The 13,239-nt window shown below is 39.5% G+C and overlaps 1 protein-coding gene across 18 annotated transcripts in view, besides 2 other annotated features; it reads left to right on the forward strand.

Moving 5' to 3' along the window:
• MAPK14 (mitogen-activated protein kinase 14) overlaps positions 1-13,239 on the forward strand; it is a 96,407-nt gene that overhangs the window by 975 nt on the left and 82,193 nt on the right. Inside the window, exon 1 of one of the 18 annotated variants that reach the window (XM_047418237.1) lies at positions 32-128. The exons of 16 other annotated variants lie outside the window; for them this stretch is intronic. The gene's annotated coding sequence lies outside the window, so the exon portion shown is untranslated. Of the gene's footprint in view, positions 1-31; positions 129-305; positions 379-13,239 lie in introns of those variants that run through there. One more of the 18 variants, XM_006714998.4, reaches the window with a different exon arrangement.
• Positions 730-1,024: a silencer, noted in NCBI's record as "tiled region #2026; HepG2 Repressive DNase matched - State 1:Tss, and K562 Repressive DNase unmatched - State 2:TssF". NCBI's record gives its function as "represses a minimal TATA promoter and a strong SV40 promoter by Sharpr-MPRA in HepG2 and K562 cells {active_cell/tissue: HepG2 | K562}" and the evidence as "EXISTENCE:reporter gene assay evidence [ECO:0000049][PMID:27701403]".
• Positions 9,839-9,888: a silencer, noted in NCBI's record as "silent region_17105". NCBI's record gives its function as "represses an Ori minimal core promoter by ATAC-STARR-seq in GM12878 lymphoblastoid cells {active_cell/tissue: GM12878}" and the evidence as "EXISTENCE:reporter gene assay evidence [ECO:0000049][PMID:35858748]".

A 13,239-nucleotide genomic window follows, 5' to 3' on the forward strand; every position in this document is an offset into this window, starting at 1 on the left:
CTCCGGGCCTTTTTTTTTTTTTTTTTTTTTCAAAACTCTGTCGAAATCCCATCTTGAAAAGCGTTCTTTTTGAATTCGCACTTGAATTAACAGCGATCCATAGAGCTTAAAATACCGACTTTATCTCGGTGAGCACTGTGCCAGCTTGAGTGGTGTGTTTCCGATTCGGTTGAAAGCGTATTTCCTTTCCGTGGAGGGGCGGCGGTGGTAGTGCCTGCAAGAACACTGCAGCTTGAGAAACTGGCAGGCTCACTGATTAGTCACATACCACTGCTCATTTAAGTATTGTTCGACAAAACAATTTTCTCATTTGGAGCAAGAAAGATTCAGATCTGTAAGGCGCCCTCAAGATCAAAAAGTTATTAACAGTGCTGGGAGGTATTGTAAATATTTTTTGAGATAATTCCTGCGAATACTGTGTTTTAAAAGTCCCTTAGAGAGCTTGCAGGGAGTTATCTAGTTATCTGCATTTATGGCCTGAGGTACACGATGGTTTTCGTAAGGATATGGAACCACATAGAAAAGGAAGGGAAGAGATACTTTTTAGCTTTAATTTACACCGTGAGTGTGTTTTAAATTAAGTCGATAGCATATAATTTCCAGACCTGAAATATTTCACTAACTGCTCTCTTAACTTCCAAGGTTTTATACCCTGTATTTTAGATTTTCTATAATTTGAAAGCTACGGATCTTAAACTAAGTATCAGATTTAACTGTTAGCTTTTTCTGTGTTTTAGTAATTCGTATTGTATGCGTCATTTGAAAACGGGCCTGTAAAATCGTTTTTTTGTTTTGGAACAAATTCCAGGCTTTTGGATGTGTTAATCTTTAAATATGATTTCTGTGTTTCCCAAAGTCACATCATGAATTTCCTGTTTGGTAGAATCTTCTGGGTAATTGAGATTGTGCAATTGTGTCCAGCAACAGATCATATTGCATTTTCTAGTTCAAGTTGCTTAAGTTATGTTGCAGATAGCACCGTGCTTGACATCTTTCTCCCATTTTTACAGCATGGCAGTTTACATTTTAAAGGAATTTGCAGCATTTTACATTCAGAGAGTGTGTGTGTGTAGTTGGTTTGCAGCATTTTACATTCAGTATATACATATTATATAGGTATATACATTCAGTATATACATATTATATAGGTATATACATTCAGTATATACATATTATATATATCTAGTTGATTTGCTAATTTTCAAAGACGTATTTGGATCATTGCTCTTTTAATATTTTATAGCTCATTAATATACTTCCATTTTTTCATTCTTGAATTGACATACATTTCTGTAGTATCACGTTTTCGTTTTCAATGCTATTTAAATTTTAATGGAGTGATACAGCAGAATAACTCAACTATAGAGGGTTTGGGTGAACTCCAATTGAATTGCTTGCAAGGGTTCGCTACTATTGGTGACTAGCTCTGCACTGGAACAGGAGATTCAGATTTACAGTGAAGTACCATTAAAATTAACTCCACAGTTCTTTAGTGGTATACTTTTCTGTGGTATAGAAGCCAGCAGTATCTGACACTTAAAAGTACTTTTATTTTATTGAACAGATTTTTTAAAATACATTGACATTGTATAAAATTTGAAAGTTTTACAAAGGTACTCAGTGGGCCGGGTGCAGTGGCTCACGCCTGTAATCCCAGCACTTTGGGAGGCCGAGGCGGGTGGATCACAGCGTCAGGAGATCGAGACCATCCTGGCTAACACGGTGAAACCCCGTCTCTACTAAAAATACAAAAAATTAGCCGCCCGTGGTGGCGGGCGCCTGTACTCCCAGCTACTCAGGAGGCTGAGGCAGGAGGATGATTTGAACCCGGGAGGCGGAGGTTGCAATGAGCTGAGATCGCTCCACTGCACTCCAGCCTGGGCGAAAGTGCGAGACGCCGTCTCAAAAAAAAAAAAAAAAAAGATATTCAGTGAAAAGTCTCCTTTCCTTTTTGTTCTCCAGCCACTCTACTCTCTCAAAGACAGGCACTGTTAAGTGTCTTGTGTCTTTCCAGAGAGGCAGTTTTTTTTATTTGCTTGTTTGTTTAGTAGTCTTTCTACTAAAGGGATTTAAGATGTAACCTACAGCATATTGGTGAAAGAAAATACAACTGAAACTGAAATTGTATGACAATTGACAATAAACAAATTATAACTAATGTTGGAATGAAAATACCAGAATTTAGATTTACAATTAAGTGTTATCTTATTCAGAGATTCAGCGTAGTTATTTGAAGTTTTTCTTTTCTTTGAGACGAAGTCTCACTCTGTCGCCCAGGCTTGAGTGCAGTGGTGCCATCTTGGCTCACTGCAACTTCCACCTCCTGGGTTCAAGCGATTCTCCTGCCTCAGCCTCCCTAGTAGCTGGGACTACAGGTGCCCGCCACCATACCCAGCTAATTTTTGTATTTTTAGTAGAGACGGGGTTCTCCATGTTGGCCAGGCTGGTCTCAGACTCCTGACCTCAAGTGATCTGCTCTCCTTGGCCTCCCAAAGTGCTGGGATTATAGGCCTCAGCCACGGTGCCCAGCCTGAAGTTGTTCTTTCAATGAGTACCTTTTTAGGTGTGGCAGAAAACATTTTTTGGAACTTCTTTTAGAATCCACTTTGGAGCCTGTGATATTCTTCTTCTTTTTTATTTTGAGACAGAGTCTCATTCTGTTGTCCAAGTTGGAGTGCAGTGGCACCATCTCTGCTCACTATAACCTCCACCTCATGGGTTCAAGCGATTCTCCTGCCTTAGGCTCCCAAGTAGCTGGGATACAAGTGCGCAACACCATGCCCGGATGATTTTTGTATTTTTAATACAGACAGGGTTTCACCATGTTGGCCAGGCTGATCTCTAACTCCTGACCTCAGGTGATCCACTTGCCTTGGCCTCCCAAAGTGCTGAGATTACAGGGGTGAGCCACCGTCTCTGGCCATCCATCTTCATTTTTTTGAGAGCAGATTTGATTTTAGGGAATAACAGTTCATTTGAATCCAAATAATTTAGGGAATTTGGACTCAAGTCTGATAAGAAAGATAAGGCAATCAGGTTGGTGATACTACTGTTTTAGGTCAGATAGGAGTTATAACTATAAAGTAACAACACATAATTTTTTGTGTGACTTCTTGAACTGGACCTGAAGTCTACTTCCAAAAAAATCTCCGAATTTTATTTTATTTATTTATTTATTTTGTAGAGATAGGGTCTTACTGTGTTGCCCAGGTTGGTCTCAAACTCCTGGCCTCAAGCAGTTCCCCCACCTTGGCCTCCCGAAGTGCTGGGATTATAGGGATGAGCCACCACACCCAGCCCCTGAATTTTATTTTCAAGAATGAAAATAAATGAATAGAATATTTCAATGAATAAAATTCATTCATTGAAATATTTGTCAGTTTCCGAATTTTATTGCTCTAAAGTGTGGTATACTTTGTAACATTTACAAATTATTTTAAGCCTATATTATTTTAATTTATACTAAGTATAGTAAAAAAACAAGTAGAAGCCTGTGTGATAACCAACTATGAATCAAAATAGAGTTTTACAAATATGCCTTTCCGTTAAAGGGTAAAGGGAACTAGACTAGGTCTTGCAGTTTTAAGGAACTTTATGCATTGTCTGTGAGGGGAAATGAAGCAAAATTGTTTAAGAATACATTGTTGCAAAGCATTGATTTTGGGGTTTTGGGACAGAAGGGGAGAATCTTTGTGGTGAGTTTAAGGAAATACAAACAGGAACTTAAGTGCCTTTCCTCTGGGGTAGGGTTCTTCCAGGCCCTTGCTGTTGATTAGAGGAGGTGGGACACTGGTAACCATGAAATAGGAGGTGACAGTTGAGAATTACTCTTAGATCTTATTCAACTGTTTATTCAACAGTGTTTATTGAATACCTACCATGGGCCAGATAGCTAGGTTCTGGAAATAGAGTGCTAAACAAGACAGAAACAAGACAATCCATTCTCTCCTGGAACTTACAGCCTAGTGGGTTTAATAACTACATTTTGTGGATTGCTTGCTATGTTCTAGCATTGTGCTGTGCACTTTATCATCAGCATAAAAAGTATATAACAAAACCTTTGGTAAAAGGATAGCAAAACTTGCTAAGAAATCAAATACAACTTCCTAAGTGCTTTGTGGAACAAGATTATTCTAGTATAAAAGAAATAAGTGAAGCTAACTTTTTTTAACTATTAATGGCCATTCACCATTTTAAATCTATTTTTTTTTTTTTTTAGAATGAGCCAGGGCACAAAGAAATAAAAGTGCATGATTATTAAGTATACAAGGGTGACTTTCTTGACTCCTGACCAGTGAGAAGGGTGTGCCCTTTACTTTTCTAGTAGTGATAGTAGGTCCATGCTGAGCTTTCCATTCTTTTCTTTGTAACCAAAAGTAAGGTAGTTGCCTGTATGTTACCAGTGCCAGTCAATAAGAAGTCTTTAAACATAATTAACGGCAAGCATTTGTATTATTGATGTATAAAGATTGTTTTAAGAAAGAGTTCATTCGAAGCTGGCTATAAAGTCATTTTATTATCAAATCCCATTTTTCCACTTTTTTTTTTTTTTGAGACGGAGTCTTGCTGTGTTGCCCAGGCTGGGGCGCAGTGGTGCAATCTCGGCTCACGGCAGCCTCTGCCTCCCGAGTTCAAGCAATTCTCCTGCCTCAGCCTCCTGAATAGCTGAGATTACAAGTGCGTGCCACCATGCCTGGCTGATTTTTGTATTTTTAGTAGAGACGGGGTTTTACCATGTTGGTCAGGCCAGTCTCGAACTCCTGACCTTGTGATCTGCCCACCTTGGCCTCCCAAAGTGCTGGGATTACAGGAATGAGCCACCACACCCAGCCTCCACTGGTTCTTCTTTAAAATAAGCTTATCCTGGATCTCCAGGTTTTCAGTTCTGCCAGTTTGATTTCTTGATACTGAGGAGTACTCTGCTTTTGATTTCTTTCTAGCCCAGTCTCAGAGATGATGTGTTGACTTTGCCTTTCATGGGCAAGAGTGCAGATATTGCTGAGCCCCTGGGGCCTAGAATTCAAAGATGGAAGAATTCACTGGGGTAGATCACCCTCACTTTAGAATTAACTGACATTTTTAGGGATTTTTGCAGTTTATAAAGTGTTTTCATTCAAAGCATTATCAATCAGTTCTCACTAGCTCCATGGAGGCTCATATTTATTAACTCCATTTTATAGATGGGGAGCTGGACTCATTCATTAAAGGAATGGCATACTTGTCAATGCTACTTTTAGTAGTCTCCTTTCTGATAGATGTGGGCTGCTGAGGTTGCGCGGTGGCACCTTCTCTTATGCAGTTAACCTCCTCTTGTGAAAAAGGGGTTGCTGAGTCACTCGGAATAGAGCTTGAGTGTAGGAAAGCAGTTCCACCAGTGTCATTGCCCAGTTTATGTGAGGGGTAATGACTTAACCCATTTAACCCATTAGAGTCATGTCTCTTCCTCAGAACTGATAAATCAAAAATGCACTCATTGCCCAGATTAAAATTTTTTCTGAAGGAATTATTAGGCAGTGCAAATAGTTAATTCCTGAATTTATGAATCCTATTGGATTGAAATTCTTCAGTGTACATTTATGTAAAGTTGGGACTGTCTGTACATGTTTGTGTTACATAAGTATAGGATATAAATAGAAATAACTGCCTCTCCAGCCCTTTGAAAATACATTAGATTTTTGCTTTTTGCAGTAAAATTTGGGGTAAAACTGATTTGTTCTTATCTAAGAGGTATAATTACTGCAGTGCTCAGAAAAGCCTCATTATAAAGTGGGCTCCCCTGACTTGGAACTTAGGGATGTCTTCTCATGGCTGCTATGGAAGTCATGCAGCTGTTTCGTCAGGAAAATAACCAAAAACTTCTTTAAACTTGGAAATGTTTTTGTAAAAGAAACTTTCAGTATTCAGAGTAGTTTGTCTTTCACAGTGCTTCCATAAATTAAGCACAGGCACAACTCGTTTTATTATGCTTCACAGATAATTGCTTTTTTTTTGCAAATTGAAGGTTAGTGACAACCCTGTGGTAAGCGAGTCTTTTGGCACCATTTTTCCAAAAGCATGTGCTCACTTCATGTCTCTGTGTCACATTTTGGTAATTCTCGCAATATTTCTTTCTTTCTTTTTTTTTTTTTTTTTTTGAGACGGAGTTCTGCTCTGTCGCCCAGACTGGAGTGCCATGGTGCGATCTCGGCTCACTGCAACCTCCGCCTTCCGGTTTCAAGTGATTCTCCTGCCTCAGCCTCCCAAGTAGCTGGGACTACAGGCATGTGCCACCACACCTGGCTAATTTTTGTATTTTTAGTAGAGATGGGGTTTCACCATGTTGGTCAGGCTGGTCTCGAACTCCTGACCTTGTGATCTGCCTGCCTTGGCCTCCCAAAGTGCTGGGATTACAGGTGTGAGCCACCATGCCCGGCAGTTCTGCTGGGATTACAGGTGTGAGCCACTGTGCCCGGCAGTTCTCGCAATATTTCAAACTTTCTCATTATTATTAAATATTATGGGGATCTGAGATCACTGATCTTTGATGTTGCTGTTGTAATTGTTTTGAGGTGTCTGGAACCATGCCCATAGGCAGACTTAATTGATAAACATTGTGTGTGTTCTGACTGCTCTGCCAACCAGCTGTTCCCTCTCTCCATCTCCTAAGGCGTCCTTATTCCCTGAGACACAATAATACTGAAATTAGGCCAATTAATAACACTACAGTGGTTTCTGAATGTTCAAGTGAAAGGAATGTTTGCATGTCTCTTACTTTAAATCAAAAGCTAGAAATGATTAAGCATAGTGAGGAAGGCATGTCGAAAACTGAGATAAGCTGAAAGCTAGGCTTCTTGTACCAAACAGCCAATTTGTGAATGCAAATGAAAAGTTTTTGAAGGAAATTAAAAATTATATTCCAGTAAACAAATGAATGATTAGAAAGCAACACAGCCTTGTTGCTGAGCTGGAGAAAGTTTTAGTGGTCTGGATAAAAGATCAGACCAACCACAACATGCCCTTAAGTCAAAGCCTAATCTAGAGCAAAGCCCTAACTCTCTTTAATTGTATGAAGTTTGAGACAGGTGAGAAAGCTGCAAAAGATAAGTTTGAAGCTAGCAGAGGGTGGTTCATAGGTTTAAGGAAAGAACCTGTCTCCATAGCATAACTTATAGTGCAAGGTGGCTGGGGGCGGTGGCTAACACCTGTAATTTCAGCACTTTGGGAGGCTGAGGCAGGCAGATCATCTGAGGTCAGGAGTTTGAGACCAGCCTGGCCAACATGGCGAAACTCTGCCTCTAGAAAAAATACAAAAATTTGTTTTTTATATTTTTTGGTGTTGTGGTGTACACCTATAGTCCCAGCTGCTTGGGAGGCTGAGGCAGGAGAATTGCTTGAACCTGGGAAGTGGAGGTTGCAGTGAGCCACTGCAACCAAGTGGCAACCGAGATCGTGCCACTGCACTCCAGCCTGGGCGATAGAGCAAGAGTACATCTCAAAAAAAAAAAAAAAAAATCAATAGATGAGAAATTGCTTCTCAGGAATGAATAAATAAAGTAGTTTCTTGAGGTGGAATCTGCTGTTGGGGAAGATGCTTATGAACATTGTTGAAATGACAACAAAGGGTTTAGAATATTACATAAACTTAGTTGATAAAGCAGCAGCAAGGTTTGAGAGGATTGACTCCCATTTTGAAAGTAGTTCTACTGTGGGTAAAATGCTATCAAACACCATTGCAGGCTACAGAGAAATCTATCACGAAAGGAAGAATAAATCAATGCAGCAATTCACCGTTGTCTTATTTTTAGAAATTGCCATAGTCATTCCAGTCTTCAGCAGTTATCACCCTGAGTAGTCAGCAGCCATCACCCTGAGTAGGCAGCAGCCATCAACACTGAGACAAGACCCTCCACCAGCAAGAAGATAATAACTTGCTGAAGGCTCAGGTGACCCTTAGCATTTTTTAGCAAAAAAATATTTATTTATTTATTTATTTTTTCTAGATGGAGTCTCGCTCTGTTGCCCAGCCTGGAGTGCAGTGGCACGATCTTGGCTCACTGCACCCTCCACCTCCCAGGTTCAAGCAATTCTCCCACCTTAGCCTCCCGAGTAGCTGGGATTACAGGTGTGCACCACCATGCCCAGCCAATTTTTGTATTTTTAATAGAGATGGGGTTTCACCATGTTGGCTAGGCTGGTCTCAAACTCTTGACCTCAAGCGATCCTCCTGCCTCGGCCTCCCAAAGTGCTGAGAGTAATAGGTATGAGCCACTGTGCCCGGCTAATAAAATATTTTTAAATTAAGGTATGTGCATATATATATTTTTTTGACATACTGCTAGTGCATACTTAATAGACTACAGTATCATGTAAATATAACTTTTATATGCACTGGGAAACCAAAAAATTTATGTCACTCATTTTTTTGTGATATTCACTGTGTTGTGGTTGTCTGGAACTGAACTCATGATATCTTTGAGGTACACCTGTATGTATGTGTTAAGGATTTACAAAATTAACCAGCTTTCCCGTGCAGTGTTCAAGTCTTTTAATAATTTATTATAGGGAAGAAGAAGTGGTGGTTTGTAAATTCTGTACTTGACAAATGGATACTGGGTTTTGGGCATGCTTGGCTCCAAGGCTGAATGTTGGGGGAAAGAAGTATAGGAGAGTGAGGAGTCTAGGATTTCTAAGTTTTGGCCTTGGGCAAATGGATATATTTTAGTGCCATTTTCTGAACTTTGTGTTACAAAGTTACAAAAGAGTGTTACAGGGTACAAGATTGTAGAGAGAAAGGGGAAGGAGCATAGGTTCATGGTAATCTCCTTGAGGACAGGACTCATTATACCTTGAGTGCCTACCATGTATGGTTTGCCGTAAGTGCTGGAGATGAAATGTGAACAAAAGAGACAAAAATTTCTGCCTTAAGAAGCTATATTCTGGCCAGGTGCAGTGAGTGGCTCACACCTGTAATTCCTGCACTTTGGGAGGCCAAGGTAGGTTTCCTTGAGCCCAGTAGTTAGAAACCAGCATCCTGGGAAAAATGGGGAGGCTCCTCTACTAAAAAATAAAAATAAAAAATTAGGGATGCTTGGTGGCACACTCCTGTAGTTCCAACTACTTGGGAGGCTGAGGTGGAGGGATTGCTTGAGCCTAAGAGGATTGCTTGAGCCTGGGAAGTTGAGGCTGTAGTGAGCTGTGATCCTGCCACTGTACTCCAGCTTGGGTGACAGAGTGATACCCTGTCTCCAAAAAGAAAAAAAAAAGGAAGCTATATTCTAATGGGGATGGCAGTGGAAGTAGATAATAAACAAAATATATAGTGTGTCAGATAAGTGCTGTGGAGAAAATGCAAGAAGGGAAGGAGAGTGAGTGCTAGGATGGCTGTTGCACTTTTAAGAAAGGTGAATACGGTAAGCATCATTGATAAAGTAACAATTGAGCAAAAACCTGAAGAAGGTGATATAGGACACTGGTTGGACATGGGTGAGGATGTGATAACATTCTAGGCTGAGGATTAGCAAGTGTGCAAAAGCCCTGAGGTAAGGGCCCTGTGCTCCAGGAAATAGCTAAGAGACCAGTACAGCTAGAGCTAAATGAACCAGGGGCCAAATATAGGGAGAAAAGTGGGGTGAGGAGAGGGTTGCAGATATGCAGGGATCATGTAGGGTCTTATTTGCCTTTGTACAGACTGTGACTTTTCCTTTAAGTGAGAGGGGAAGCCTTGGAGGGTTATGACCAGAGGAAGGACATGACCTAAATCTTGTTTTAACAGATTACTGTGCTCTAGGGTCCCAAGTTTTTCGTTTCGGTTCCTTACCCATTCTACCCTAAACCACTACTGTGAATAGGATAGAACGGTGGAGTTAGATGAATTGGTGCAAGCCCTGACCCATGCTCACAACTCTCATTCCAGCAGTCCCAGAGTGCCAGAGCCAGTATTTTTGTTGGGCCCTAGAAATTTAGGGTATTCCAGTCCAGCTCTTTAAATAACATGGGCTGACTTTACTTTTTCAGGTTTTTGTTGCCAAAAGGAAGGAGCAGAGATTAGCTCTTGAGTTTAGCTGAAAAAGGAAGATTAGTCTGCTGGCAGATTGAGTGTTTTTTAACTTCTTTGGCTTTTAGGGTTTTTCTTACTTTTGGATCATGTTTTAAAAGTCATTTTTACCTTCTTTCAACAGTTAAACATTTAAGTTTTATTTGATTTTATTTGACCCTTTTTCTGCTTTACATTCCTCTGCCTTTTCCCCATTATAATACTTTTAGTAGAGGTTAGACCATTGTTATCTGTCATTAATGTCTTAGCTTTGAGGCCCCAAGGACTTCTCTGTTAAACTTAAATATATCATATAGATTGAAAGATTATCTACAGACATGTGATCCTATAAAAACCCATATTATTTATTGTCCTCCCTGCCTTTACAGATGTAAACCCCTCTCCTCTTTTCATCAGAGCTCCCCCTCTTTTACTGCTCTATCATCAGGTTGCAGAAAATAAGTTTTCCTGCAAACATAGATTCCCATGGCAACATAACAAAAAGGTAATAGAACAAATGTTTATTTTGTCTAGACCTGCTGTCTGAGTACCATTAGACCCTGAACATGTTGGCTCCTGTTATTTGAATATGTGGTTACAAATTCCTTATTTTCCTCAAAACTTACTTCTCTTAGGCCTTGGTGATATTGTCACTGTGCCTGTGATATGAAGGAAGGTGTGTGTGTGTGTGAGTATGTGTGTCTTACTGTCATTCTACTCAAAAGTGTGTATTGATTGCATTTTCAAACTTATGGCTTAAAATGTAGACACCACACAATCTGAGCATGTGAAGAAAAAAAGCATACCAGTTTTGTTCTTTGTTTTCGTAAGTTCATTAATTTAATATTTCCAGTGCACTATACTAGATATTTTGTTTACAGAGATTTTAAAAAAAAGAAGGGTCCCTCCTTTCGAAAGTATCAGTCCAGGCTGGGTGCAGTGGCTCACGCCTGTAATCCCAGCACTTTGGGAGGCCAAGGTGGGCGGATCACTTGAGGTCAGGAGTTTGAGATCAGCCTGGCCAACATGGTGAAACCCCATCTCTACAAAAATTAGTTGGGCATGGTGGTGTGTGCCTGTAATCCCAGCTATTCAGGAGGCTGAGGCACAAGAATCACTTGAACCCGGGAGGCGGAGGTTGCAGTGAGCCGAGATCACTCCCCTGCACTCCTGTCTGGGCGATAGAGCAAGACTCAGTCTCAAAAAAAAAAAAAAAAAGAAAGTATCAGTCCAGAGGAGACATATTTATGTTTCCTCATAGATGGCTTTGGAAGTCCTCTGTAGTTTTGGATCTTGAAGCATTTTAGGTTTTGGATTTTCAGATTAGGGATACTCAACCTGTATAACCCAGGGTAATTCAACCTATTGACACTTTAGGTGGGATAATGTTTTGTTGTGGGGGACTGACCTGTGCAGTGTAGTATGTTTAGCAGCATCCCTGTCTCCAACTCACTGTATACTAATAGCAATTCCCAGTTGTGACAACCAAAAATGTCTAGACATTGCCACATATCTCTTGACGGGTAGGGAGGGCAAAATCACCTTTAGTTGAGAACCACTTATATAACCCTATATATTTGGATTGATAACCCTGTATATTTGATTGAGTAAAAACTAGATGGGATAACATGAACCTTCCACCTGCAAAAAGGCAGAAATGCTATACTTTCTGCATTATAAATTGGGCCTCTCTAAACATGATTTTTGTTATTTCTAGGAGAGTAACAGCATTTCTAATGGTCAAGGTCCTAGCTATAACCCAATAAGCTTAATGGATGGGAGAACTTGCACAAGCATGTTTGCAAGAGGCCAGGTGTATCACTGGCACATTTGAGAAACAACTAATTAGTGAGGGAGACCCAATTTTCATGAATAATTGTGTTTTGTCATTGTCATGGCCCCAACTTAGGGTGTTTTGAATTTTTTCTGGAAAGGAAATTAGCATGAAGTCCAAGTTGGTAGGTAGGTAGCATTTTCCCTAGTGTCTCTTCTGGTATTCTGTGTCCTTTCTCTCCTGTCTTCTTTCAGTATTTAGCGTTTTCAAACTCCTAGAAATAAAATGCTGTTTAGAAGACCACAAAGAGAGCTGCACATAAACTAAGGAGCAAGAAGTAGTACATTGTGAATTAATTTTCTGTATGTTTTTGAAGGTTCTTGCATCTGGGAAGGCTTGCTTAGTTTTAAAAATATTAGGTAATAACAGACTGAAATTTTGAAGATCTTGTGGATCTCAGGTAGCAGTAACTCAGGAAGATCAGCCTTCTTTGATTTAGAATGTCATTTAGGCACATTATGTATTCTGGTACCTTAGAAGATACAATGCATTTTCCTGAATTATCATTGCTACTGCTTTAATTACTTTAAGGGTGTGAGGCAGTAACTAACTTTAGTGTCACAATGTATACATCTTAACATTTATTGTGCTCTTTTTTTTTTTTTTAAACACCACCTTAAAGTACTCTGCTATTCAGATTTTTCCTTGTGTTTCTCTAATTCTCCTATTTCATCCATTGGTCAGTTTTTTCTTCCTCTTTTCTTTCTGCTCCATGATCCATTCTTAAATTTTCTTTTCTCTTTCTGTGCATATTCTTTTTGAATTCATTATCTGATAGTCTCAACAATGGTCTTGTTCATATACTATCCTTCCAAATTTGTACTTTCAAACCTAATCTCAAGAATGACTGATCCTTTGGATTCTAAATCTATTGAGATGTAATGTTTCATGCTTTTCCTTGATTACTTTCCTACACACTTCTTGAAGATACCAGAGATGTAGCACTAACTTCCGTTGGAATGGGATTCATGTTACAAGCTTGAATGGTTCAGTTTAGATATGTGAAGCGGATGTCATCATTAGCACTGATGACTGACAGTAGTTATAAAAATTACAATCAGGAATGAACCAATTTACCTGAAGTTTTCAATAACTCTAGGTATTAATGCAACATAATTTTGAAAGTTTGAAATATATAGGTATAAATATTGATGCTTATATTTTAGATTTACTGTAGTGAAGGAAATTTGCCAGTCGTCCATCAGTGTTAAATGCCCACCAATGTGTAAAAGAAATAGACCTAAAATATTAATAAATTGTGTATATATGTATGAAGGTATTGATGTGTACAGAGAAGTGGAGACATTGTGAGTTATAGTGGTCAGTATGGTTTTATGGAGCAGAAAGGATTTGAAGATTATTTAGAAAGATGGGTATTTGGAGAGAAGAAAAG

This window comes from Homo sapiens, chromosome 6 (assembly GCF_000001405.40).
Source record: "Homo sapiens chromosome 6, GRCh38.p14 Primary Assembly".
NCBI lineage: Eukaryota > Metazoa > Chordata > Mammalia > Primates > Hominidae > Homo > Homo sapiens.